Source organism: Homo sapiens, chromosome 17 (genome assembly GCF_000001405.40).
Source record: "Homo sapiens chromosome 17, GRCh38.p14 Primary Assembly".
Classification (NCBI taxonomy): Eukaryota; Metazoa; Chordata; class Mammalia; order Primates; family Hominidae; genus Homo; species Homo sapiens.
The window spans coordinates 40,474,700-40,502,138 of NC_000017.11; the positions used below are offsets into that span (position 1 = coordinate 40,474,700).

Here is a 27,439-nt window from a genome sequence, read left to right on the forward strand (position 1 = left end):
CTGAGAGGAGACTGAGAGGAGTCTCCATCTGGAACTGCACTGGGGCAGTGGAAAGGGAGGCAGAGGCTAACCAGCGGTGGTTCAAGGCCCCTGCCACTGGGTCACATAGCTCAGCCCAGAGAGAAGGAGGCGCTCTCCCATTCCCAAAACTTTTCAGGAGAACAGAAGTGCCATAGCCTCTCTTGCATCGCTTGCTGAGGCCTTCTCAGGGCATGCCAGCCTTGGCTCCCTAGTTGCAGCGAAGTCTGGAGCAGGTCTGGGAGGGAGGCATTCCTCTGGGACTGGCTTAGGGGAGGACTGCCACTGGAAGGAGCTGGGGGTAGAACTCCCCAGGCCCAGGGTGGGATCAAGAGGCCATGGTCCAGTTCTTTTTCTTTTCTTTTTTTTTTTTTGAGACAGGGTCTCACTCTGTCACTCAGGCTGGAGTACAGTGGCACAACCACAGCTCACTGCAGCCTTGACCCCCCAGGCTCAAGGGATCTTCTCACCGCAGCCTCCCAAGTAGCTGGGGCTACAGGTATGTGCCACCACGTCTGGCTAACTTTTTGTATTTTTTTTGTAGAGACAGGGTCTCCCTATGTTGCCCAGGCTGGTCTCGAACTCCTAGGTTCAATCCATCCTCCCGCTTTGGCCTCCCAAAGTGCTGGGATTACAGGTGCGAGCCACCACACCCGACCACAGTCCAGCTCTTCAGGGCGGAGCTGGCAGCTCTGGGGCCATCTGGGTTCGGGGACTCTTCCGGACTCCTCTTGAGGGGTTCATGTTTTGCCCGCCTCTCCTTGTCTCTCAGTGGGGGCTGAGTGAGACCTTGGAATCCGTCAGGGGCACCGTACACACTCACTTTGGGCCCCGGGAAATCACAATCCTTTTGTTTCCCTGGCAGAGTGGCAGGAAAGGGGCGATGAAGAAAGAAGAACAAGCGTGTTGGGCATGTGGGGGACACAGAGTGGTTTAAGCAATGGTTTACGAAGTGGAAGCCTGCTGAGCCTGTAGCGCCGTGGCCAGGGGTGCGGGAGGGAGTGTGGCACACCTGGTCTCCCCTAAGACACAGCCACGCCCTCCCAAGTCAGTCCCCCTTCTCTCTTCAGGTCTCCATTTCCAAGGGCACAGCCCTGACTGCCTCAGAACTTACTGTTTTGCAAAGACAAACATTTTATTTTTCATGATAGGAGCTGTAGCAGAGTATATGGGGGCCTCTGCCAGCCCCCAGGCTGGGACTGGGGCCTGTGACCTTGAGAACCTCATCTCACATTCTGCAGACTTTGGCGGCGGGGCAGTGCTCGACCACTGGCTGGGTGGGCTGGTCTCAGCCTCTCCTGCAGGCCCAGGGCTGAAATCATAACCGTCAGGCCCAGCCTTGGCCAAAGATAATGCAACTTTGGCAGGGCTGGCTGCTGGGAGGGGGCAGGCACTTGCTCCTCGTAGAGCAAGAGTGGGTTTCTTCCCTGACCCTCCCTTCCACCCCGGTAGGGTGGTTTCCTTAGGAACTCAGGCCTGCGGGAGAAATGGTTCCAGCTTCTGGAGGCTGGGTGGGGGTGGGGTGGGGGTGGGTGTGGGATAGAGCCCAGCTCCTCCAAGCCTCTTAGGGAAGCGGCCTCTTTGCATTCTTGACTCTCTGCTTCCCCCGTGTGGCTGTGAGGCTGGTTGAAGCCACATAGCAGTAGAGGGGCGTGTGTGTGTGTGTGTGTGTGTGTGTGTGTGTGTGTGTGTGTGTGTGTGTGTGTGTGTGTTGGAGCGTGGGTTGGGGGAGGGCTCAGCAAGACAGGAGCTGAGGCAGAATCACAGAGAGATGGCCCTTATCTCTGCCCCCGCCGCCTAATATGCAACATTAGGGCAGCTACGATACCAGCTTTGGAATACTCGCCTATCAAGGAATGGAAAGAAGCTGGGCTGGGTGGCTTGCGCCTGTAATCCCAGCACTTTGGGAGGCCGAAGCAGGTGGATTACCTGCGGTCAGGAGTTCAAGACCAGCCTGGCCAACATGGTGAAACCCTGTCTCTACTAAAAATACAAAATTAGCTGGGTGAGTTGCACATGCCTGTAATCCCAGCTACTTGGGAGCCTGAGGCAGGATAATTGCTTGAACCTGGGAGGTGGAGGTTGCAGTGAGCCTAGATCACACCACTGCAGTTCAGCCTGGGTGACAGTGAGACTCTGTCTCAAAAAAAAATAAAAATAAAAACCAAGTGGAAAGAAAAGATGGGGTGATACTCATCTGCAAGGGGGTGCAGGACAGCTGGGTCTCCTCTGACCATGGGGACAAGTTCCCCCTGCTGAGCTGCCCTAAATACCACACCCAGCTTGGCCTGCAGCATCCTGGCTGGGTGGACCCAAAAAGCCACCCAGAAAGTGGGAAAAGGAACAGAGGAACAGATATGGAAGGAAATAGAGTCTATCCATTCCTGTTTTGTAGTCAGTTCTTGACCATCACCAGCTGCAAGCCAGGAGCCCCGTGGGTCACCGCCAGGCACCTGCTGTCTGCCACGAAACAGGGGCTGCAGGTCTCTTGCTCAGACTGTTGTGTGGGCAGGGCCCAGGTCGATGGGGTCAGAGGGTCCTTGGAGGTTATTTTCATGCAGGGGTCTTCAGAGGTGTGCATGCTTCAGAATCATGGAGGAGCATGTTCAAATGCCCACCAGCATCTAAGAACAGCTGATCTTGTCTATTGGTCTTCTTCTATGATTGAGGAAACTGAGGCCCGGGGGGTCTGGATGATGGTGACTGCTGAAGGCCATAGCAGGTTCAAGGGTGTCAACTTGATGCCAATCCCCCTAGTCCCATAGATTGGTCTGTCAATATGGCCACAAGCCACACCCATTCAGGGGGTGGAGGGGGGCTCCTTAGCGAGCCCCTGGAGGTGTTGGTTAGGTGCACAGGCAGTCTCTCCCCTACATCCTTTCTGCGTCCTGCAGCAGAGCAGTCACCAGGCCGATGACCTGCGAGGCTGGCTGGACCATGTCATACTCCGCAAAGAGGTGGCATACGTTCTCCTGAGGCTCTGTCTGGCTCTTGGCCACAAACCCAAAGATCCTGGTGGGGGAGGGCAGTCTGAGTGAGGGGTGGGACCCAGGGAGGCATCAGGCTGGTGGGAATGGGGTGGTGGGGGGCCCTCAGCCTGCATCTCATTCCTCCCTGCCCCTCCCTTAGCCAATTGACTCCAGCACCTCCTTATGGTGGGGCTCCCTGGGGAAGGAGATGCCTCTCCCGTCAGACTGGGAGATTTCTGAGTTCAAGCTCTGGGTTTCCTTTGTTTTGAGTGAGGGCTCCTTGAGGACAGGACCTGTGCATTCCCCATTAGAGTGGAAGCTCCCTGAGGGCAAGGATGCATCTTGATCATCAGACTGGGACATTCCAATAGCTTGAGGCTCCCTGAAGTTAGAGCCTGTGCCTCTTGCAGAAGATTGAGGGCTCCCAGGCTCATGTCACCCCCAACAGCCCAGAGGCTCTGAGGGCAGTCAAAGTCTTTCCCATCAGATGGGAGCTCCCTGAGGACCAGGGCCTGTGCCCTCATCAACACTTTGGACTATTAAAGTCAGAATGGTGCCTCTTTCCTTCTGCAGTTCCCTCCCCATGTTGGGTTTGGGGCCCTGAGACAGGAAGGCCTTACCAGGAGGGTTTGCAGTACTTCTGCCACCTGTAGGAAAAGAACATGATACCGAGTAATGAGGCTTCGCTCCATGCCACAGGACCCTGGAGGAGCAGCAGGACTGGCCAGCTGCGTCCCCACCCCACCATGCCCCACCCTACCCTCATTCTGTCACCCTGACCCCTTGAGGTTCACAGGCTCCCTCTGGGATCCCAGGCCCAGAGTCGGCAGGACGCCTTGGTGGGCAGCGGGGCCCTGGACAGCCTTCTTAGTTTGGCCCAGCCTTGAACTTACTTCCGTTGCTCAGGGTCCATACCACAGAAGCGGAGGGTGGTGAGTGGGTAATGGCGCCGGAAAAACACCCTAGGAGGAGGCGGGGAGAGAAGGGAAGCGATGACAGCCTGTCCCAGTGTCATCCTGCCTCCAGCATCTCTCGTTCCCCCCAAGCTCAGGTGCCCTGTCCTCCAAGAAGTCTCTGGGTTAGACCTTGAAGACCGCTATGGCCTTTCCCACTGGGGGGCCCTGGCGCCCCGCTCCTGCCTCTCTCCTCTCATGGGGCTTGTCTGCCTCTGTCTTACACTCTGGGGTTTTCTATCACACCCCTACCACGCCATTTAATTTTTTTTGGCCACTAACTTTTTGAGGACACGAATTACATCTTGGTCATCTCTTGTTTCTCCCTGTGAAGTGCTCAGCCCTGGATCAGGCTCCTGTTAGACTGTGAGATCCGAGCCTGGGGAAGGAACGATCTCATTCCTCTCTGGGTCCCAGTGGTCAGCCAGTCTGGCCGAGGGAAGATGTTCCATCAATGGGTGCAGGCATAATCGGCACCCATGAATACTAGTTAACTCCATTTCCTTCCTTCCTTCCTTCCTTTTTTGAGATGGAGTTTCACTCTGTCACCCAGGTTGGAGTGCAATGGCGTGCTCTCAGCTCACTACAACCTCCGCCTCCTGGGTTCAAGCAATTCTCCTGCCTCAGCCTCCCAAGTAGCTGGGATTACAGGTGCGTGCCACCATGCCCGGCTAATTTTGTATTTTTAGTAGAGACGGGGTTTCATCATGTTGACCAGGCTGGTCTCGAACTCCTGACCTCAGGTGATCCGCCCGCCTCGGCCTCCCAAAGTGCTGGGATTACAGGCATGAGCCACCGTGCCCGGCCCCCGTTAACTCCATTTTCATCAGTCATGATGAACAGGGGCTTTGGCAGTGGAGTGAGGCCTGGAGGAGGCAGGGAAGCTGCCTGGAGTCACTCAGCACATCACTGGCCCCGCTGGGTCATCCAGAACCCTGAACTTGACCTTCATCCCTGATCTGCAGCTGTCTCAGCTATCCCCTCCAGCTCTACTCCGCCAGCCCCGGAGCCCCAGGGCAAGGGAAGGCCCTTACTTCCTCTGGACATCAGTCAGAGTGATGCCCTGCTCTGTGACTTTGAAGTGGACCACGGTGGGCGTGGGGAGGATGTCCCTCTCAAAGGTGGTGGAGATGGCTTTCTGCACGGCCAGGGCTCCAGTCAGGGTCTCCACGCTCACTGAGCTCAGGTACAGGGTGTGGCAGCCTGTGGGAGGCAGACACTGCGCTGGGGCCACTGACCCAGGGCCCAGGTTCTCCCTCTGCCCAGGGCCAGGGGAGGGGGTGAGTCTCCTGTTCAGGAATCCAGTGGAGCTCCTCTTAGAGCCGCCACCCAACAGAAAGTGGGTGTGTGGGTGATCACAGTTTGAGGCCAACCCCAGAGGGCTTTGGGATCTTCTGTGGCTTTGCATCGCCCTGGCCCCTGGCCCTCCAGCATGGGGCAGGGGAGGGGATGTTGCCCTGTGTGTAGAGGTGCCCAGGAAAACATCCTTCTGTCCACACTTAACGGCTGCTCTCCTCCCCACACCTCCATCTTCAAGGTCTTGGTTCATTGGCAACGGTAGGGACAGAAGACAAGAATGGGGAAGGAAATTGTTCGTGCTCAGGGCATAGAGCAGGAACAGTCACTGAGACAAGTGCTGATGTGTGCTGGCCTCTGGGAGTGTGGGTCAGGGACCTTTCCCCTGGTGAAGGCTCCAGGACTTAGACCTGACACCCCATAGAGGATCCCAGACCCAGAACCACCTCTAGGGCAGGTTTCTCAGACCTAGAGAGACCCTAGCACGTGTGCACATGCCCATGTGTGTGCAGGAGGGACTGTAAGTTCTGCCACTCCCCCCACCCCCCACCCTGCCCCACTTCCCTGCTGGCCTCTCATCTTCTGTTTTACAGGGGTGATGGGGAGCGGGTGTGGCACCTTGTTAAAGATGCAGAAACAAAGCTGAGATGGGAAACACGTGTGTGCCTGTGCGTGTGTGCGTGCATGCGTGCGTGTGTGCAGGGTTGGGAGGTGCCCTCTTGGGGCACAGCCAAGCTTGGCGCCTCCCTTCCTGTACCACTCACCCGCAGATTTCTTCTGGCAGGAGGCTGGGCTGTCTGTAGAGTCCGAGGCCCCATCTGCACCTCCCAGTTCTGAGCCAAGGCAAAGAAACAGGCCCCCCAAAGGGGCGGGGGTGGAGTGAATGGACCCCTCTCACAGGAACAGGCCTCATGAATCCCTTTGAAGATCTCCCACCTCCACCCCCATCTCCAGGAAGTGACTCAAACCAGGTGTGATTACCGTAATTAGGCAAACAGGCCACTTTGGGCTCCCTAAATGCTTAGTTTGCAACCCTTTTGATCTCTTCATCCCCTCCTCGCCCCCCCACCTCTTAGATGGCTGCCATGATCTTGTCCTCACAGGCCCCTGACCTCCTCACTTCTTTTGGACCCTGTCTCAACCCCTGACCTGTCTTTGCAGAAAGCGAGGAGGCTCTCACCATCGCTCCTCTGGGGCTCCCTTGCCTTGATGCCCTTCCAGAAACAGCCCTTCTCGAGCTTCTCCTGCACACCCCTGAGATGATCTATTTCATCTGAGCTGCCCCCCTACCTGGCTGTATGCTCTGGATAGGGCATGCTGATCTGGGTTCAAGGTCTGACTCTGTGGGCCTTTGGGCAAATTACGTAACATCTAGAACCCTCGTTTTCTTTTCCTTCCTTTCCTTCCTTCTTTCTCTCTTTCTCTCTTTCTTTCTTTCTTAGATGAAGTCTTGCTCTGTCGCTCTGTCACCCAGGCTAGAGTGCAGTGGTGCGATCTTAGCTCACTGCAACCTCTGCCTCCCCGGCTCAAGTGATTCTCCTGCCTCAGCCTCCTGAGTAGCTGGGATTACAGGCGCCCACCACCACGCCCAGCTAAATTTTTGTATTTTTAGTAGAGACGGGGTTTCACCATGTTGGCCAGGCTGGTTTCGAACTCCTGACCTCAAGTGATCTGCCCGCCTTGGCCTCCCGAAGTGCTGGGATTACAGGCGTGAGTCACCACGCCCAGCCCTTATTTTCTTATCTGTGAAATGGGGATGATAACAGCAAAGTCTACTTCACAAGCTTGTAGTGAAGCATGAATGGGTGAGTGAGTGCTCAACAAATGCTGGACCTGGAAAGAGAAAACCTCTCCAAACTATTTGATTTAGGCTCTTTCACCCTCTCAAAGCAGGCTGCTATTTATCCAACATCCATTCTATGCCAGGCATTGCGCTAAGAGCCTTGCCCGGGCTATCTCTTTCGGTCTGCACAGCAATCCTATAAGTAGGTATGATGAGGAAACTGAGGCTCAGAGAGGTCAACATTCTCAAATTTTCACAGCTAGGAGGTGGAGATGTTGAGCGACTCCAGTGCACACAGTTTTAACCGTGACACTAAAATAATCCACCAACAAGGTAGGAGTGAACCCCATTTCTAATGAGAACAAACAGGTCCCCCACCTTGGCATTGCCTCTTTGGGGCCCAGACCCACCTCTCTGTGGGATGGTGAGTTTGCAGGGCAGGGCCAGGGCCATGATGGAATGCTGGCACACGAAGGCAGAGAGGCTCCCTGAAAGGAAGCAAGCAGCCCTGCATGAGTAGAGCTTCCCCAACCCACCCCTCAGCTCACAACGGAGACTTCGCTGGCCCCCCATCCCGGGGGAGCCTGGAGGCTGGGGAGTCTCACCAAAGTAGGGCTCCTCATCTGCTCCTTTGAGATGCACTCCTTTGGCAGACGACTCGATGAGGAAGTGTCGGATGAGGTCATTGCTGTCCTCACCTGGACAGAGAAGAAAGAGTGCATTCGGATAGAATTCCACCTTGTGGCCGGGCGCGGTGGCTCACGCCTGTAATCCCAGCACTTTGGGAGGCCGAGGTGGGCAGATCACTTGAGGTCAGGAGTTCGAGATCAGCCTGACCCACATGGTAAAACCCTATCTCTACTAAAGACACACACACACACACACACACACACACACACAGTCACACACACAAAGCCGGGCGTGGTTCACATGCCTGTAGTCCCAGCTACCCGGGAGGCTGAGGCAGGAGAATTGCTTGAACCTGGGAGGCAGAGGTTGCAGTGAGCCGAGATTGTGCTACTGCACTCCAGCCTGGGTGACACAGTGAGACTCTGTCTCACCGGAAAAAAAAAAAATTCCACCTTGTCCATCCCCCTGCCTCTCCCTCCCACAGAGGAGGTGCCAACACATCTGCTCAATGGCTCCAGCCACACCCTCTTCAGGAAACCTTTCTCTTCTTCTTTTTTTGGGGGTGGGGTGGGGAAACCTTTCTGCTGGTCAAGAGTTATCAGGGATTTTTTTTTTTTTTTAGACAGAGTCTTGCTCTGTCTCTTAGACTGGAGTGCAGCGGCATGATCTCGGCTTACTGCAGCCTCAACCTCCTGGGCTTAAGGAATCCTCCCACCTCAGCTTCCTGAGTAGCTGGGACTACAGGCGTGCCCCACCATGTCGGGCTAATTCTTTTGTAGAGACAAGGTCTCACTATTTTGCTCAGGCTGGTCTCGAACTCCTGAGCTCAAGCAGTTCTCCTGCTTCGGCCTAGGGATTATTTTATTTTATTTTTTTTAGACAGGGTCTCATTCTTTGGTCTAGGAAGGAGTGCAGTGGTGTGATCATGGCTCACTGCAGCCTCAAAGACCTCCTGGGTTCAAGTGATTCTGCTGCCTCAGGCTCCCAAGTACCTGGGACTACAGGTGTGCTCCACCACACCTGGGTAATTTTTGTAGCGACAGGGTTTTGCCATATTGCTCAAGCTGGTCTCAGATTCCTGGGCTCAAGTGATCCTCCTGCCTCGGCCTCCCAAAGTGCTGGGATTACTGGCGTGAGCCACTGTGCCTGGCAAGGAAACTTCTTAATTATTTAGATAAATGTCGACTCTTTGGTCTGGTTTCTGTCTCCCCCTGCCCACCAGGTCATCTCTGCTGGAGCCACGCTGGCCCCGGGGGTGGGGAGGTGAACAATGACCTTCTGACTCCTTTCCACCAGTCCACAGTGTCCTCCTCAGTCTGGGCTCATTGCCTCTTGCAAGGCGTCCTTTATAAGTAACACCCTCCCCAGAGGTCACTTTCTTATTGTGACAGTGAGGCATACTGTCAAGAACACAAGGCTGGGTGTTTCATCCTCCCTTTATCACTTAATTGCTCTGGAGTCATTAAGTAACTCTGGGAGCCTCCGTTATCTCATCCGTTAAATAAGAAGGTGCAATCCTGGGGTTTGAGTGAGGCCTATGACCCAGGTACCTTGTACTGTAATCATCTGTTTTCATCTGTCTCCCTAGTGAGGTGGTGTCTGTGTCTGATTCCACTGTATCCCTGCTGCCTCACACAGTGCCTGGTGTGTGGTGATGCTCCATAGATGTTTGCTATCAAATAAGCATGGGAGACCACAGGAAAGCATATAAGCTATCACACACATGTGCGCTGAGCTAGTACACAAACCTGGTAAGCTATCACCTGTGAGATAAGCTAGCTGCGTGTGTAATCACACATTAGGTTCCCTGGAAATGAATCCAGTTTGACTCCAAGAAGAGCAGCCTAGAGGGGGCTAGGACCCTCCTCCTTCTCTCCCACCATCAGAAAAAAGCAGGGAAGTGGGGGTGGGGCTCGGGAAGGCAGAAGCACGCAGGCTTGCTGTGAAAGGCGTTTTTCAGGGTGCCTTGGGGCTGGAGGGCATCGGGGAGAACACTGGGGTGGACGCTTCTCCTAGGAGCTGTTATAAGACTGGCGCCATGTCACCCTGAAAGCTAGTGCCAGAGCCAGGACTGGAACCTACCACACCCCGCTGCCTCAGTGAGGCCTTGAGTGAGCACAGAGACAGACGCATACCTGGTCGACTCTGAGCAGACGCGGGAACCTCCTGCACCTTCAGGGCCAGGCCGAAGGAGCCTCGGTATGAAGAGCTGTCCCTTATGACAAAAGCCCCTGGCTCCTCCTTCCTCAGCAGCTCGATTGCTGGAACAATCCTTGAGTCAGAGATGGACACCGCCCCACCTGGACACCCTGTCCCCAGCCCCGTAGGGTCTTCACAGAGCAGATGTTACAGAGTCACCTTTTGTCCCCAGGAAGTCCTTTGTACTGTCAAATCTCCACCATTCTTGCTGTGGTTCCTACTTCCTCGGGAGGTCATGAGGTCAGCAGGACATCCCCCTCCCCCGCTTCCCAGGACCCACTATTTGCCATTCCTTAACTGTAACCCAGGGCCCTGCCTGATGCAAAGTGCAAGACCCAGACCCTATTCTGGGGTCACTCGTGCTTCCTTTTACCTTGCTCTCGGGTGATGTTTGGCTTAAACCAGTATTTAGATGTGTCCATCACGAACTTCATGGTGGGCTGCATGTCCCTGGCGGGACCTGGAGACAGACAGAGAAGGGGGACCCTGTAGGCTGGACAGACGGGAGCTGAGGGATGTTCACCAGAGAAGGCTGGAGACCCTTCCCTACTCTATTGCCCCAAGGTTTCATTCAACCACCATCCCAGACCCTAACCCCATTGTATCTCCAAACTGCCTACGATGAGGGAAAATCAAACAGAAGGATGCCAGGGTTTGGTGCATCTAGAACTCAGAAGTGCCCTTGTATCCTTGGTAATGAATAAGGAATGAATAGATACAACCTCAGTTTAAGGAGAAATGGTTTCTTAAATCTACTGTTGAGTCCCCTGGTGAGGACTGAAATAAGAGATAAACAAGGAATTCTCAAATGCATCATGTTTGATATTACATTCTCCTTCGTCTTCATAATCCTAAGAATTCCTTACGGGAATATTCAGCTTGGAAAAGAAAATGGCAGAAAACGTGAAGGAGAGGAAAATAGCAGATCTGGGCAGAAAAACATGCCCCTGGGAGGCGGGAGCCTGGATCTTGACTCTGATATGGGATAACTGAAGCTCAGAGGGGACCAAGTGGACTAAACAGCTTCTGAGGGTCTTTAATGTTCTAGTAGTCTATGGAATTAAAATGAATTTTGTTTTAGGAATATTTTGCAGAATTTGATAAGATCTGGGGGTATAGTTGGTGATATTATGGGACCAAAGCAGGATGGGAATATCACTAGGCTAAGTAAATGTGCGCTTTGGGATGCCAAAATGGCCATTTCCCTGGGTCCCTAAGGCAGAGAGCAGTAGCTGTCAACCTTGGCGGCTTGAAAAGGAGTGTTGTGACCACTTACTCTCAAGTAACTCATTCAAAAAAAGTACTAAAATCTGCAAATGATTTGTCCTAGGAAAGCGATCAGGGCAGATGCAAAGGCACGCCAGAAGTGTCATTTTCTCCTGCTTGCCTCCACATGGCTTCGTGAGTGGGAGTGAGCAGTGGGCTATAGTAAACATTCCACCCCCACCCCCTCTGGAGTCGCCTTGATGCCTGTGAGCGTCATGGCCAAGTGGGGGCTGAGAAGCCCCCCGATGGCCGAGGGAGGGGGAACAGGGGGTTGGCAGGGGACTCTGCTCATGGGAGAGGCATCCACAGGGTGCTAGAGCTTAGCTTCTGGGTTTACTGCTTGGGTTTGTTCTTCTTGGACGCCTGTGATCTCAGACTCCGGGAAGGAGGGTGTTTGCTGTTTTGTGGTTTTCGGCTGTCTGAACTGGAATGCATTGTCTCTATTACCCCATCCACCCCCTCTGTGTTCTCATCATCTGCGAACGTCAGAGTCAGAACTGACTCGCCCTCTTGCTCTCCTTGAGTTAGTCATCAAGCACATCCTGAGGGTCGCCTGGTTCTGTCCTCTCTCCTCCACTCCCACTGCCCTATCCCGGTTCAGGACCCTGCTATCCGTTGAGCTGCCAGGGTGATCCATTGAGCGAGCACCTCTGACCCCATCACTCTCCTGTGTGAGGAGGCTCTCTGATGGTACCCTATTGCTTAAAAGGCAAATTCCATTTTTTTTTTTTTTTTTAGCTTGGCATTTAAGGCCTTTCACAATCTGGTTTCAAATTACTCTCAATGACTTGAACCTGCACCCAACATTCCGGCATTTCCTGAACATGCCATGCGCTTCCACACCTTCATGACTGTGGACCCCCTGCTTTCTCTGCTGGGAATGCCTTTCCTCTCCTTCTCTGGCCACAAACTTCTGATCCATTTCCCAGATCCAGCTCGGATGTCGCTTCCTCTGTTCTCCAGACTGAAAGAATCATTCCTTCAGCTTTGGCCAATATGATTGAGAATATCTCTTTACCTCCGCGTTTATCCTACCCTACCGTGATGATTTGTTTTTGTCTCTTTCTAAACTGTTTCCCTCTGTGTGTCCTCACTACCTGGCATAGTGCCAGACACACAATAGTTGCTCAATAAATGTGTTGACTGGCTGTTGCAGAAACCCACTGGCACTTTGTCTATTCCCCAAATCTTACATTGCTTCAAATATTGGTTTACGACGTACCCTCTGGGCATGTGGTAAAGGGGGCATCTGACAGGGTCTGGCTGTTGCTCCTGGTGGCTGGACAGGGGTTGCTGGGAGAAGCAGCTCCAGGTTGAACGGAGTTCTGGTGTCCTGGGGTCCGCTGGGGTGGAGAAGACCCTGGTTCTGGGCAGCCGTTGATCAGCACAATGGGTATGTCCACCATGGAGTTGGTGATGGATGGGGGGCAGCTGCTGGCATGTTCTTTGGCCAGTGGTGGAGAGTGGGGTGTTCTGGGTTGGCCCATGGTTAGGGTGGGGTTTCTGGGAGCCTGGAAGTCACTGGGTCTTGTACACAGGGACACTGAGCCAAGGCTGTGGAGGCTGGAGGAAGAGTTGGCTGGACTTTCCAAGGATCTGGAAGATGACTGATGGCTGGAGTTGCTGGAGTGCAGGAGGGACTGGCTGCTGCAGCGGGAGAGAGTCAGACAGGGTGTTAGGGCAACAGGTGGCTCAGGGGCTAGAGTCAGGCTCCGGATCTGGTGATCTGGGTTCCCATGGCTTTAAAGGCCAAATAGAACACTGCATACCCCACCCCCTACAGCCCACAGCAAAGTGCATGCCCACCTAATCCTCAAGGGATGGTAAGGATACAGAAATGTCCTTGGATGGTAGGGTCTTTGGTCACTTAAAGTAGCCAATGAGCTGACCCCTGCAGGCTTTGGGCATAGGCTGGCCCACATTCCGTCTGCCTTCCCAGCCAGGCCGTTCTGACTGAGCTGTCGGATCAGGATCCCTTCAGGCCCCCATGACTCCCAGGAGCCCTGCAGATGGGCTGAACCTACGCTGGACCACACCGTGGCTGATGCAGAGGGAACTCCCCAGCTGCAGGAGAAGGCCAGCTTCACATCCAGCCAGACTTCTTCCTGAGCTCAGGGGCCTGTGCCAGTGGGCATGGCTGTGGAATCCCCAGCCTCTGTGCCAGGGACTGCCTTGGCCAGTGGCTTTGGAGGTGGAGTGGGAAGCAGAGTCCTGTGGTTCGGTCTTCCTGGGGCAGAATGGGTGCGCATGTGCCTGCAGTTCTGCTGTGAGGTCTATAGAGAACTGAGCTGGGATGATTGTGATTCCCAGGCAGGGCTGCCTCACTCCTTTGCTAGGTTTTGCCAGCAACAGAGGAAGGAACCTTTTTATTCCTAAATAGTTCATCTCAGGCCCCCCAATTCTATTTATAGCCCTGTGTTTTGGGGTTTAAAAAAACCTTCCTTGAGATGGGTTGTATGAGGGCTGGAAAGGATATAGATGAGCCTCATTAAGGCAACGGCTCTTTTACCAAAAGGTAGCTATAAGTCAAGACTTTTTATATTGAATTGTATTCTAAATGCTTGAGGACAGCTTGAGATCTGAAAGGCTGTAAAAGCAAACATTTGCTTCTGGTTTTGGTGCATGCCCAGATTTTGCTCAGACAGAGCAGGGTCCCTTTCAGTGATTTTAGGGGGTGCATGCGTGCGTGTGCCTGTGTGTGTGTGTGCAATGTTAGAAGCTACAGAACCTACCTTCCAAACATATAGCTGACATCAGACACTGGGCTGGCTGACAGCACAGAGATCCTGCTGCCCCGCTGTGGGGCCAGGCCTCCCAGCCGCTTCTCCAGTCTTGGAGAAGCCACCAGCGGGGAGCCCAAACCATGGGGGCTCGAGGCCTTGCTCCCCATGCAAGGGATTGAGATGCTGGGGGAATTTGGGGGTCGAGGGGAGAGACCCTCTGAGGGGGGCAGAGGGCGCTGGTGCCCCCTGCCCTGGTTCCCAGAGAAGATGAGGCTCTCACTGCTGCTTCGTGTCTCTCGGGGGACGTCTCTGGAAAGGAGGAGGCCACCACTGCGAAGGGAGCCGAAGGGCGGGGTGACAGAGGGGCTGGAGCAGTGCTGGGGGCCATCGTGGCACCTTGATCTGGCGGAGGTCACCTCGATGTACTTTATGTCTTTGGGGGAGAAAAGCAGAGCATTGGTGAAATGCAGGAGCCTGGACTCATAGAACAGAGAGGCTGGAAGTATCCTCAAGGTCATTCTGTCCCCCCTCTTTTATAGAGACGAGGACACTGAGGCCCAGAGAGGAGAGCCCAACTCCACCTTCAGGGCCCAGTTCCAGTCACCCTCCCTGTGACAACTTCCCTTGGGTGAGGAGATGCAGTAGGGGACCCAGGCCTTGGAATCAGACAGACCCAGGCTTCAGATCTGGCTCTGCCACTTATTTTCTGAGAGAGTTTGGCCAAAAGACTTCACCACCCAGGGCCTCAGTTTCCACACCTGTAAAGTGGGGCAACTGCATTCAGCCTTTTGGTGATACAAAAAGGATGAAGTGAAACTCATGTAGGCAGCACAGCACTGTTCCCGGCACAGACCAGGTGCTTAAAAACTGGGCAACTCTCTCCTTTGTCTGTGCCCTGTTCCTAGGTTGAAATGGCCACTTGATGGGTTGTACCAGTGACACTTTCTGATGCCTCTGCTACTCAGGATGTGTGAAAGTGGTTTCTCTGAGGCTGGGCGCGGTGGCTCACACCTGGAATCCCAGCACTTTGGGAGGCCTAGGCGGGTGGATCACCTGAGGTCAGGAGTTCAAGACCAGCCTGGCCAACATGGCAAACCCCATCTCTACCAAAAATACAAAAATTAGCCGGGCACCTGTAATCCCAGCTACTTGGGAGGCTGAGGTACAAGAATCGCTTGAACCCGGGAGGCAGAGGTTGCAGTGAGCCGAGATTGCGCCACTGCACTCCAGCCTGAGTGACAAGAGTGAAGCCCCATCTCCAAAAAAAAAAAAAAAAAGGAAGTGGTTTCTCTGTACCTGCAGTGAAAGCAGGGATTCTCAAGCTTGGTTACACACTAGACTCACCCCAGGCTGCGCCTTGTGCCAATTAGATTAAACTCTCCAGGGGGTGAACCCAGGCCTCAGTTTTGTTTGTTTTCCAGTTTTTCAGGTGAGTCCAGTAGACCATGAATGGCTCAGCAGGACCACATCACCTGGGCTCCACCCCTACAGAAACATAATCTGCATTTTAGCGAGGCCACCCAGGGCATGTGAATATGCAGTGGAGTCTGAGAACCCTGCTTTGGAGCAGGCACTCCCTGAGCACAGGGCTTGCTGCATTCTTGAGCTATGGATCTCCTGGGGATGGTAGCTGGTACACAGGGGTCACCCAACACACCCCAGGCTGCCGACGCGCTCCAGCGCTCTTTCCACTCCCTGGTCGGGGCATCCAGGACTCTTGGGATTCTGAGGCCTTGTTCCTCTCCCGAGGTCGGCCTTGCAGTGGGCTGCTCTGAGGTTCTCCCCAAGGTGAGGATGAACACCCTTCCTCCTGACCTGGGGGAAGGGAATTGTCCTTGGTGCTGTTCCAGCAAAGCTGGAGGAAGGTGGGGGTTAATGAGCCGCTCCTTTCTGAAGAGTGTGAGTCTTGCCTCTAGCTTCCTGGGATGGAGGCTGGGGAAATTGGGGAGAACGTGCACCCTCAGCTCCCACCTGCCTGGGGCCCTGGCACATGCACTGTTCCTCCCCATTATGACTGTGGAGCCCCAGCCTGCCCCAGCCCGCTCCTGGGTAGGGCCATCTGGCCCTGCTCACAGTTACTGCCTCTGTCTGAGCTTGCTTGGGCCACGGTGGGGGTGGGGAGTTACATCAGATGAGCAAGGGCTGGCAGCTGACTGGGACTTGCTGCTCAGCGGGTGGAGGAAGAGCCTAGCTTTGTAGCAAAACAAACCTGGGGTGAGTCCTGGCTTTGCTGCTTTTCAGCCAAGGGCATTGTGCAACTTTCCTAACCTCTCTGAGCCTCAGTTTCCTTATCTGCAAAGTGAGGATCTGAAACCAGTCTTCCAAGGTTGTGATGAGGATGAAATACAATAGCCGGGAGCCTGGCCCATGGTGAGGCTCGAGAGAGGAGCATTTCCTACCTGCCTGCTTTTTGGGGACAGTATTGGCCAAATGGAGCCCTTTTCTGGCTAAGGTGGGGATCTCTCTGCTTAGAAAGATGACTGCAAGAAGAGAGTGTTTGGGGCACTGCATTGTGGGCTCTGGAAGAAAAGAGATCTTGGAATGGGTTGGATTCTTCTGGAAGGCTGGAAAGCACAACTTCAATTTTTATAGGACTTTATAGTGTTTACACCCATAATCTCCTCTGAACCTTATAATAGCCCTTGAGCAGGGCAGGCATTATTTTTTACAGAGGAGGAAACTGAAGCTTGGAGAAGAGTGGGGATGGAGCTAACACTTAGTGTACAACGATGTTTCACAGAGACTGGTCTTTATTGAGTGCAATGTGCCAGGACCACTACGAACACATTGCTTGTATTAGCTCCTTTAACCCTCATGACAACTCTGTGGAAGTAGGGGATATTATTAATGCCCATATAACAGATGGGAAATCTGGAAGGCTCAGAAAGGTGAAGTGAGTTATCCAATGCTGCACAGCCAGGGAGTGTTGTTGAGCTCTGTTTAGGGACTGCTTCTTCCAGGATGAGGAGGGGCTCCTTGGGAACCTGCTCCAAGGCCTTGCCCTGTGAGAAGGTGCTTGGCTGCTTTGGGGAGGGTCTCTTGGCACAGTGAAGCTCTGGGCTCCCTACTCACTGGGCCATTGAAACATCCATCAGGGACCTTGCTGGGGTCACTGAGTAAGGAGAGCGGGAGGGGAGGGAGGAGCCCCGTGCTCACCTCAAGGTGGGTGTGGCTGGGGGGTGGGGTTGGGGCCTCTACCCATTGCAGGGGTGCAGTCGCTGTTTACTGGCCTGTGGGGCAAGTCTGAGCAGTGCTGGGTGGGTGCCGGCGCCAGCCCCAGGCAGGCGGGTGAGTGGAGGGAGGGCGTGTGGGTGAGGGGTGGAGAGATACTTATTAAATACCCTTCACTTGGGGCGGGTAAACAGCCTTGCCTGGCAGACATTGTTGGAAAATGAAAGTGGGGGGCCTGTTCCAAAGATGGGGTGCGGGGTGTTGGAGAGGATAAAGAAAGGGATATGGTGTTTGCTTCTAGGAACCACATTCTCTGTGGGATGGGGGCCCCCAGGGCAAGTTTAAAGGAAGGCAGGGGCAGGGAACCTGGGGAAGGTTTGTGAAGCACCCAGGAGGTCGCGCCTCAGAAGAGGAGCCTGCAGGCTGCCTCCAAACGGATGGATTCCGTGATGCCCCAGAGGGCAGAAGACTAGACTTTAGAAAGAGAGAAAGGACAGTGGCCTATGGAGCCCAGAGCCTGGGATTTGAGGCCTGACCTATCTCTCCCTGACTGTGTGACTGTGAGCCATCACGTACCCACCCCGAGCCTCAGTTTCCTCATCTGTAAAAGGAGGTTTCCACTATTTCCTTCAAAAGCCAGACACTGGGATCATGGATTACATGGAGTCTTTTTTTTTTTGAGACAGGGTCTCACTCTGTTGCCCAGGCTGGATTACAGTGGCGGGATCTTGGCTCACTGCAGACTCCACCTCCAAGGCTCAAGTGATTCTCCCACCTCAGCCTCCCAATAGTTGGGACTACAAGTTCATGCCATCACACCCAACTAATTTTTGTATTTTTAGTAGAGATGGGTTTTCGCCATGTTGGCCAGGCTGGTACATGGACTAGTTTTTTTTTTTTTTTTTTGTTTTAAGCCTGGGCTGGGTGATATGGCTCATGCCTGTAATCCCAGAACTTTGGGAGGCTGAGGAAGGAGGATTTCTTGAGGTAGCCTGGGCAACATGGTGAGACTCCATCTCTACAAAAAGTTTAAAAATTAGCCAGGTTGGCAGGGCATGGTGGCTCATACCTGTAATCCCAGCACTTTGGGAGGCCAAGGTGGGCGAATCACCGAGGTGGACGAGGTCAAGAGTTCAAGACCAGCCTGGCCAACATGGTGAAACCCCGTCTCTACTAAAAATACAAAAAAATTAGCTGGGCATAGTGGTGGGCACCTGTAATCCCTGCTACTCAGGAGTCTGAGCTATGAGAATCGCTTGAACCTGGGAGGCAAGACTCCATCACCCACCAAAGAAAAAAAAAATAAGAAATTAGCCGGGCGTGGTGACATGTGCCTGTAGTCCCAGCTACTGGGGATGCTGAGGTGGGAGGATTGCTTGAGCCCAGGCATTCAAGGCTGCAGTGAGCTATGATCACACCACTGCACTCCAGGCTGGGCAACACAACGAGACTCTGTCTCAAAAAAAATATGTATATATATTTAGGGGAAATGTCAATATAGAATTGCCAATGTTTAATTTTTAAATTCTGCCAAGTTAGGACAAAAAGGAAAAGTAAACATCTCCTAGCACGGTAATGTCAGAGTGTCTTTCCTTGAACAGCCCAAAAGTAGGAAGGATGAGATTGTAAAATGGCAGGGGATCCTCCACTCTGAATACATTTCGAGGTAAGAGAACTCACCACAACGCTCAGAGTTGTACACTGCTATAGGCCAGTGAGAGATTTGTCACCAGCAGTAGGGTCTGCGGGGAGGATTTTGGGTGCAGGTGTCTGCTGTTCTTAGTGATGGTGGAGAACTTCCCAGTGGGGAGCTGACCTGGCTGGGTTGTCTTAGGAGGTAGTGAGCTCCCAGGCATTGCAGGTGTCCAGGCAGACGTTAGAGGAAGAGATTTTTTTTCTCCATCAGAAGGGGCCAGGGCACAGAGAGGCAGCTTCCTCAGGACCCTCTGGCCACTGCCTGCCTTACATTCCCTGTTCCCCAGAGTTGGGTGGACACATGTTCACAATGGCATGTGGTGCCCAGGGCATCTGTGGATGTGGACCCATGCCATCAGCCCTAAGCTGATCATGAGCCCCTTCCGTGGAGGAAGGGCCTAGTTGTCACCAACCCCCACCCAACATTTGAGGACGTTCCACAGGGACTGGTTTTGCCCCAGCTGGCCTTGGACATGTGGAAATCCAGTCCTGGGGCATGAACGGTAAAACCCTGGGCTTGCTCCTGCCAACAGTAATTAGGCCCAAGATGCCTTTCCTGCAGTGACATGCCCATGACTGACTGGCCTGAAGAAACAGGAAGACCCTTGACGGACAGTTTCTTTAACAGGTCTGGCAGGCAATGCTTGGTGAGAGGGGACAGAGCAGGCAGGAGCCCAGGAGCCCAGGAACCCTGGGTGCCAGAGGGCCTGGGTGCTGGGCTGGCCTCCACCTCAGAGCCCAAACCTGGGGCTAGCCCAACGTGCAACCCCAATGTTTAATAAAAACAGCTACCATTTAGAATGGCATATGGTGTGCCAGGATTTGTGATAAGCAGCCAAAAAATGTAATTTCTTTCAATCCCCATAACACCCTTTGAGGTAAGAACTCTCATTATCTCCATTTCTCAGATGGGGAATCTGTGACACATAGCAGTGAAGCAAGCAGCTTGTGAAAGCTCTGCCTGACGCCAGCCATTAGGCTAGACTGGCTCCTTACTTAACCCCAGCAACCCCAGCTTTTCATTTGCAAAACAGAGATAAAATATTCGGCAGGGTGTGGTGACTCACACCTGTAATCCCAGCACTTTGGGAGGCCAAGGTGGGTGGATCACTTGAGCTCAGGAGTTCGAGACCAGCCTGGCCAACATGGTGAAACCCTATCTCTACTGAAAATACAAAAATTAGCTGGGCATGGTGGCAGGTGCCTGTAATCTCAGCTACTGGGGAGGCTGAGGCAGGAGAATTGCTTGAACCCGGGAGGTGGAGGTTGCAGTGAGCCGAGATCGTGCTGTTGCACTCCAGCCTGGGTGACAGTGAGACTCCATTGCAAAAAAAAAAAAAAAAAAAAAATTCAGCTCAGGGAGTGGATTGAGAGGATTGAAGATTCTACATAAAGTGCTCAGCACAGTGCCTGATATGTGTCCAGTAAGTGTAATATCTTATGGCTCCTATCTCTAATCCTAATCATGCACCCCTTCACCCTTGCTGGTAGTTTAAAGCCTTGGAGGCCTCAGTCTTCCAACCTGTCTGATGGCTGCTCCTTGATCCTCATCAAGAGCATACTTGAAACTCTTTGTTCAGGAAACTGAAGCCAGATGTAGGAATTTCCAGGTTCCTTTGGACTCGGTGGTGCCCTGGAATTGGCTTGTATCAGCTGGTTAAGAGCTGATTGTTAAATTTTCAGGATTTTGTCTAGCTAGTTACTAAACCCAGCCATTATGAATAATTACATTATGTACACTTACAATGAAATAACTTACATTAAAAACAAAGGTAATAAATACTTAAAATTCGTCACGTCCCAATTATTTTACGACAGTGTCTCCCCACCCTCCATACTATTATCTGTGCTCTCAGGGTTATTTACATCTATTGTGTTGGTGTGGTGGCAATGCTGTGTGACAGCCTGCTACTCCACATGTCTCCAGCTCCTCATTCAGTGACATCATGTTGGTAGTTTGAAATTGGCCACAGTGGGAGAATTCATACTGTGGAAATGGGCAGAAGCTTCAAATCAGCTCCCTCTGCCCCTGCTCCCCAACCAGAGAGCCAGGTAAACATTCACCAGCATACCACTGCTTGAACACTACCGGGTCCTTATCCTAAACAGATGCCCCAATCCTACCATTTCCAGCGTGGGCCTCTCCAGAAAGATACTCCCCTAAACAAGGACAGAGGTCCCAATAGCAATCCTACCAAAATTTCAGGGGGGCCCAGGTTAGGCTCTGAAGTGAGACACCCTAGGACAGTGGGGGTCAGGGATCCACATTTATTGAGCTCTTCTTTATGGGCACGGCACTGCACAAAACACTTTCCATAGGAGCTTATTTAAGTCCTCATAAAATCATAGAAAATCAGTATCTATCACTTTCCAAACTCAGGAACCAAATAGAATTGGCTAGTGAGGGAAGCTTGTATTTATCCCCTTTGTGTAGCACAGAAAACAGAGGGGTTAGTAACTTGGTTAGGTTTGCACAGCACCTCCCAACAGGACAGGGTCCCCTTCTCTGTACATAGGAAAATCCTTCTTCCTCATGAGGTCTGGCACCAAGCCCCCCTCCTGGTACTGTGCCCCAAATCCTTACCCAAGGCTTCAGATTCCTCCTTCTTTCTCATTGACATGGTGCTCTGGGCCAGCTCAGCCTGGGAGCCCCCAGTCCCTGGGGGAAGCAGCTGGAAGGTGGGGTCCAGTTCCAGGATCATCTGATTGAGGCTCTCCAGTGAGAAGTCAATGTAGGAGTCAAGGTCCTCTGGGGTCCCCAAGGCCTTCTCACCAGGGGACGGCAGGAAGCAGGTGGCTTTGGCCTCCACCTGTGGGGCTTGCTGGAGTCGGCCAGGGGGCCCCATGCAGGGCACGGGGGCCATCAGGGCCTGGGCTCCCCAGCCTTCCGTGGTGTAGTAAGAACACTGGGGTGGCAGGCTGGGGCTGGGTGCTGGGTGCAGGGTCCTCCTGGGCTCATCACAAGGCGCCAAGCTGACAGCATGGCCTCCTGCCAGCAGTGGGCTGGACATCACCTGGGACATGGTGGGGGTGGTGACCTCTGCAGTTTACCTCTGGTCTTCAACCAGCCTCACTGACATCCCAGAGATCTCACTTGCTAACCAGGAGCTCCCAGGATCTGAAAGAGTCCAAGAGTGGGAACGGAGTAATTTCTGTAGGTGAAGCCCCTGCCTCCCACCCTCCGTACAAAGGCTAAGTTATTCATTCATTTAAAAGCATGGATGCTGGAGCCAGACCACCTGAGTTTGCAGCCTGGCTCCACCACCTACTAGCTGTATAACCTTGGGCAAGTTAATTGACTTCTCTGTGCCTCAGTTCCCTCGTCTATAAAACAAGTTAATCATTGTAATGTGCTTAGAACAGTGCCTGGCACATAATAAGCATTATGTAAGTGATCATTAAATAAAATAACTTCAGTAGATGTTTATTGAACATCTACTACATCCCAGGTGTGTTTATTAAGTAAATACTACCTAACGTTTGCTGAGTAATTATTATCCACATAAGCTCTGGTATTTTTAGATAAAGGCTTTAAAAATCCTTATAACAACTGTATAAGGTAGGTATTATTATCCCATTTTACAGGGAGAGAACTGAGGCACAGAGAGGTAGGTAACTTGCCCAAGGGTCACACTGCCAACAAGTGTAGAGAAGGACTGGGCCCTCGGCTGCCTGATGTCTGAGCACCTGCACTTGGGCCGGTTGGTGAAACAGACAAGTAAGTGGGTGAACAACTGTAAGCAGTGTCACGAGAGAGGAGGGAAGGGACAGTGCACTTTTCTAGTTCAGTGGGGAGGTTAGGGAGGTCTTCCTGGAGGAAGGGACACGCAAAGGGAGATAAGAAGGAAAAGCAAGAGGTAGCTGCGCAAGTTGAGTAGGGATGAGGAGGCAGAGAGGAAGATTTAAGTTAGAGGGGATGAGCTGGGCGTGATGGCTCACACCTGTAATCCCAGCACTTTGGGAGTCTGAGGTGGGCTGATCCCTTGAGGTCAGGAGTTCGAGACCAGCCTGGTGAACATGGTGAAACCCCATCTCTACTAAAAATATAAAAATTAGCTGGCATGATGGCACGTGCCTGTAATTCCAGCTACTCAGGAGACTGGGGCAGGAGGATTGCTTGAAGCTGGGAGGCAGAGGTTGCAGTGAGCCGAGATCGAGCCAATGCACTGCAGCCTGGATGACAGAGCAAGACTCTGTCTCTAACTAAACAAATAAACAAATAAATAAACAAAGTAGAGGGGACCATTTGTGCAAAAGTCTGGCCAGCAGGGAAGCTCACAAGACCCTATTGAGCACCTGAGTAACAGAGCACCTGGGGTGGGTGGAGGAGATGGGGCGGGGGAGGCAGGCTGGCCAGATCCCGTAGGGCCTTGCAGGCTGGGCTCAGGACTGCCAGCTCAACCCTGAGGGCAACAGGGAGGCTCTGAAAAGTTTTGAGCTGGGGAGTGACATCATCAGATGATATTCATTTCCTTGGGGCTCATTTGGGAAAGAGATGTCTCAACCTCCTCATTTTCCTTACTGTGAAAAGTCCTTTCCATTGTCTAACCTTAATGCCACATGCTAGTTTCTTGTAGGTGGGGCTTGGTAAGGAGGTAAGAAGTTCTGGGACTGAGGCTGCCAAGAAAACTGTACAGAGCTGCAATGTGCTGGTTACACTCCCATTGCCTGCTCTGAGCTTTGCTGCTGGTCCCCAGCCCCCACCAACACCCCCCAACTCTCTTTCTTCTCGTTGCCAAAACGCCTCCTTTACGTCCTGTTTTGGAGTCAGACCTTAGCACTGGAAAAGGTATCTGAGACTAGCCTGGGAGAAGAGAAAGTGGACTCTGGGATCCGAAGGTTTAGATTTGACTTCTAGCTCAAATAGCTCCTTATGGTGTGACTCTGACCCTGAGTTTCCTCATCTGTGAGATGGTAATGAGAATTCCTGCACCCTCCCAGAGAGTGTTATGGAACCAGTGAGGTGCTCCTTGTGAAGGTAGTTAGGCAATTCTAAATAGTACTTAGAAATAAGGACTTATGGAGTATAACAGCCTCATAATAGTAGCTTCCATTTATTGAGCGCTGACCATGTGCCAAATAGTTTACATACGAATTACATTGGTAACTCAATCCTCTCACAGCTCTAGGAAGTACTGCACCCTATTGTCAGTCCTCTTGTTTTTTTTTCTTGAGACAAGGTGTCGCTCTGTTGCCCAGGCTAGAGTGCAGTGGCACAGTCATGGCTCACTGCAGCCTTGACCTCCTGGGGCTCAAGCGATTCTCCCAGCTCACCCTCCCGAGTAGCTGGGACTACAGGCTTGTGCCCTATACCCAGAGAATTTTTTGTAGAAAGAGGGTCTCACTTTGTTGCCCAGGCTGGTCTTGAACTCCTGGGCTCAAGTGCTCCTCCTTCCTCGGCCTCCCAAAGTGCTAGGATTACAGGTGTGAGCCGCTGTGCCTGGCCTTATTTATTTATTTTGAGTTGTCAGTCCATTTTACAGATGAAGATGCTGAGACTCGGAGAGGTCAAGAAACACGCTTCACATCCAGAAAGATGGTGGAGCTGGGATTCAAACCCAGGTGTGGGATTTTGGAATCTTAATTCCTTATGCTAAGGGAGGAGACCACCCCTCATATTGTCTTATGCCCAATTTCTGCCTCCAAAGAAAGAAAAAGTAAAAACTAAAAGGCAGAAATGAAATCCACAAGCAGACAGCCCAGCGCCACACCCTGGGCCTGGTAGTTAAAGATCGACCCCTGACCTAATCGGTTATGTTATCTATAGATTACAGACATTGTATAGAAATGCACTGTGAAAATCCCTTTCCTGTTTTGTTCCCACGTAATTACCGGTGCGTGCAGCCCCCAGTCACGTACCCCCTGCTTGCTCAATTGATCACGACCCTCTCACACGCACCCCCTTAGAGTTGTGAGCCCTTAAAAGGGACAGGAAATGCTCACTCGGGGAGCTCGGCTCTTGAGACAGGAGTCTTGCTGATGCCCCCGGCCGAATAAACCCCTTCCTTCTTTAACTTGGTGTCTGAGGAGTTTTGTCTGCGGCTCGTCCTGCTACAATGCCACATGGAATTCAAGTGCAGAGGGACACCTGGGATCTAGAGAGGGGGCATGATTGGCTGAAGGTCGCACAGGTTTCATGAGAAAAGCCAGGGCCCCTTCCCCTCTCCTGCCTCCCCCAACGCCCGTGGCTCCGGTAGGTCTGATGCCAGACTTTTCCTTGGCCAGGTCCTGCAGGGGGCGGGGCATCCCGGGCACGGGAAGCTTTCTATAAATGGAAGTGGAAGGGAGCCGGCCTCTGCGCTCCCGCCCTCCCGGGACAGCTGAGGACACAGAGCCGGAACCACGGCTTTTTCCACACAGGCTCCAAGTGGACTGGGTTTGTTGGGACAGGATCTGGGCGCTCCCTGCAGGGTTTTCTGGCTGTGTCCTGCAGAGGAGGCTGGGGCTGCTGACTTTGCAGAGCTCAAGGAGGGCTGGGTGTCCCCTCGCAACCAGGACCCAGTATACCTGCTTACTAATTTGGACACAGCTTTTGTGCCACGCTGGGCAAGCGTCCTTTCCTCTCTGGGCAGACCTCAGTTGTCCCATCTGTGTGATGGGGATGTGATAATAACAGACACTGAACACCTTGCATTTTCTCAACAGCTCTCTGAGGAGGGTGCTATTGCTGCAGGGCTGGAGAGGTTGAGGAATTTGCCCAAGGTCATACAACCCCAACTGTGAATTGGGGTTTAAACCCAGGTGGTCTTGCTCCACGGTCCCACACTTTTAGCCTCTGCTGCTGCTTCACATATTTAAGAACCCTGTCCACCGCTGCCCCTTCTGGGATTCTGGAACCAAGAGGGACAGACCTGGAGCTGAGCAAAGGGCAGGCAGCCCCTACGCTCCTCTTCAGCCTCCCCTCACTTTTAAGGCTCTGCGTCGCCCTTGGATGTACCAAGGCAGGGCTCCATCTTACTCCTGTATTCCTGAATGCTGCCCCCTTCGCGGCCCCGCACACTCCTCTAACTTGCTCTTTCTTGCTGTAAGTGGTGGGGAGAGTCCCTGGGCCCGGGGCTCTGTGTGGTTGGGAGGCACGGGGCGGGGGCAAGGAGGGCTCCAGCCACCTCTGCTCTATTTGTAGGTGCCCCCTACCCGCTCCCACTTCTGATTCTGACTCAGATCTCTTTCTTTGTTCCCAAGGACTCTGGGGAGTCCTGGTGCCTTGGCAAATCCCCTCTTCCGTGTCATTGCCAACCTCTTCTCCTGACTTACTCTCTCCCAATGAGCCCAGGTCAGTGAAGGGAGAGGGTGGGGCAAGGGTAAAGCCTGAGTCTCCCCCAAAGCACTTTGCCTCATTAGCCCAATCTCCACTGCACCCCCTATTTTTGAAAACTGGCTCCCGATCTTCCCATCCCTCCCACCCAGACCCGGTGACGCAGGACGTGGACCTCAGGCAGGGACCCATAGGACCAGTGAAGGCCAGCCGCCCCATCTCCCAGTCCTGTCTACCTCTGAAGTGCCCAGAGGGCTCCCAGAGCGCTGGGAGGCGAGAGGCCTGGGTTCTGTGTCCAGTCCCTTTCCATGACCTCAGGCAAGCCTCTTCTCTGTGGCCCTCAGCTCTCTCATCTATTTGCCGAGGGGCACAGGTTTAGTTCCCTTGAACTGCTGAACTCCGCGGTCTGTGATCCTGAGACCATCTCTGTCTCATCCACATCCTCCACCCCATTTCTCCCCACCTTCACTCTGAGCCCTGAGAAATGGAGAAGCTGAAGACAAAAGGTTAAATGAGGCTGGGCTCACGCCTGTAATTCCAGCACTTTGGGAGGCTAAGGTGGGAGGATCACCTGAGGTCAGGAGTTTGAGACCAGCCTGGCCAACATGGTGAAACCGCGTCTCTACTAAACATAAGAAAATTAGCCGGGCATGGTGGCAAACATCTGTAATCCCTGTTACTTGGGAGGCTGAGGCAGGAGAATCGCTTGAACCCTGGAGGCAGACGTTGGCAGTGAGCCGAGATCGCGCCACTGCACTCCAGCTTGGGTGACAGAGCAAGACTCCATCTCAAAAAAAAAAAAAAAAATGTTTAAATGAATCAGGGCCAGCAAAGGTGCTCCGTGTTCCTCTCTTCTTAAAGAATAAAGGCACCTACCTGGTGTCCACAGGTGGGCAGACTGTTGCCTTCACTACTGGCTCCTGGGACCAAGACGACTCAGAGTCCAGGTGAAGAGTCAGGAGAGGCGCCAGTTCACCTCCAGACCTGCCTTAAAAGCAGCTTGCCCGCCTTCTCTCCTCCCCTCCGGGCGGGCCCTGCACGTGGCCCTGACAGCAGTAGGCCCCACCCCTGCTGGATCCAGTGAGCTCAGGTGGGGCTGGCACAGGCAGCAGGAAGGGAAGCACTGGGTGGTGGGTTTTGGGTCTGGGTGTGTGTGAGGGGCTCCCAAGTTCCTGCTTGGGCTTCTCGTGGCACCACATGGCCAGGGAGTCCTTGCTTGGACAGGGCATAGCTAGAATCAAGGTGTGCAGTGGGCACTCCTCAGGTGCTGGCTGGGGCAGAGGCCATGGGTTGGCAGAGCTGGCAGAGAGTGAGGGCCTTGACAAAGCAGGATGCCAGTGGGCAGGAGACCCTCTGCAGTCCCCCTTTGTGCTGGGTCACACTGGGACAGGCACAGGGTAAGGGCCCACTGGAAGTAAGGCTAGGCACGAGCTTGTCTTTTCTTCTTTCTCTCCTTTTACAGTAATGACTCTAGCTTGGGA

At 53.2% G+C, this 27,439-nt stretch overlaps 1 protein-coding gene across 6 annotated transcripts, besides 6 other annotated features; it reads right to left on the minus strand.

Moving 5' to 3' along the window:
- Positions 1-1,134: 1,134 nt before the first annotated feature.
- Positions 1,135-26,924, minus strand: TNS4 (tensin 4). 6 transcript variants are annotated; one of them, XM_005257744.2, is made up of 13 exons: positions 26,835-26,924; positions 21,288-21,821; positions 13,847-14,270; positions 12,337-12,758; positions 10,222-10,308; positions 9,785-9,910; positions 7,625-7,717; positions 7,430-7,507; positions 6,001-6,069; positions 4,975-5,143; positions 3,881-3,949; positions 3,608-3,634; positions 1,135-3,030 (listed from the first exon to the last, which is right to left on the minus strand). In XM_005257744.2, the coding sequence occupies exons 2-13, from the start codon at positions 21,724-21,726 to the stop codon at positions 2,889-2,891; spliced, it is 2,145 nt and encodes a 714-aa protein (XP_005257801.1). In that variant the 5' UTR covers positions 21,727-21,821; positions 26,835-26,924; the 3' UTR covers positions 1,135-2,888. The 6 variants fall into 6 exon arrangements, with proteins under 6 accessions (XP_005257801.1, NP_116254.4, XP_047292905.1 ...); NM_032865.6 differs by having other exon boundaries at positions 12,337-12,761; XM_047436949.1 differs by having other exon boundaries at positions 4,975-5,479; positions 12,337-12,761.
- Positions 5,418-6,617: an enhancer, noted in NCBI's record as "P300/CBP strongly-dependent group 1 enhancer chr17:38636369-38637568 (GRCh37/hg19 assembly coordinates)". NCBI's record gives its function as "activates an origin of replication core promoter dependent on BRD2, BRD4, P300/CBP, MED14 and CDK7 cofactors, with strong dependence on P300/CBP, by STARR-seq in HCT116 cells {active_cell/tissue: HCT116}" and the evidence as "EXISTENCE:reporter gene assay evidence [ECO:0000049][PMID:35650434]".
- Positions 6,600-6,785: a silencer, noted in NCBI's record as "fragment chr17:38637551-38637736 (GRCh37/hg19 assembly coordinates)". NCBI's record gives its function as "represses an EF-1alpha promoter that drives an FKBP-Casp9 reporter gene in an ReSE screen in K562 erythroleukemia cells {active_cell/tissue: K562}" and the evidence as "EXISTENCE:reporter gene assay evidence [ECO:0000049][PMID:32094911]".
- Positions 15,788-16,413: an enhancer, noted in NCBI's record as "H3K27ac-H3K4me1 hESC enhancer chr17:38646739-38647364 (GRCh37/hg19 assembly coordinates)". NCBI's record gives its function as "activates a minimal SCP1, AML or CMV promoter by ChIP-STARR-seq in primed H9 embryonic stem cells {active_cell/tissue: H9 hESC(primed)}" and the evidence as "EXISTENCE:reporter gene assay evidence [ECO:0000049][PMID:30033119]".
- Positions 18,778-19,279: an enhancer, noted in NCBI's record as "H3K4me1 hESC enhancer chr17:38649729-38650230 (GRCh37/hg19 assembly coordinates)". NCBI's record gives its function as "activates a minimal SCP1, AML or CMV promoter by ChIP-STARR-seq in primed H9 embryonic stem cells {active_cell/tissue: H9 hESC(primed)}" and the evidence as "EXISTENCE:reporter gene assay evidence [ECO:0000049][PMID:30033119]".
- Positions 19,280-19,779: an enhancer, noted in NCBI's record as "H3K4me1 hESC enhancer chr17:38650231-38650730 (GRCh37/hg19 assembly coordinates)". NCBI's record gives its function as "activates a minimal SCP1, AML or CMV promoter by ChIP-STARR-seq in naive and primed H9 embryonic stem cells {active_cell/tissue: H9 hESC(naive and primed)}" and the evidence as "EXISTENCE:reporter gene assay evidence [ECO:0000049][PMID:30033119]".
- Positions 24,466-25,337: an enhancer, noted in NCBI's record as "H3K27ac-H3K4me1 hESC enhancer chr17:38655417-38656288 (GRCh37/hg19 assembly coordinates)". NCBI's record gives its function as "activates a minimal SCP1, AML or CMV promoter by ChIP-STARR-seq in naive H9 embryonic stem cells {active_cell/tissue: H9 hESC(naive)}" and the evidence as "EXISTENCE:reporter gene assay evidence [ECO:0000049][PMID:30033119]".
- Positions 26,925-27,439: the final 515 nt, after the last annotated feature.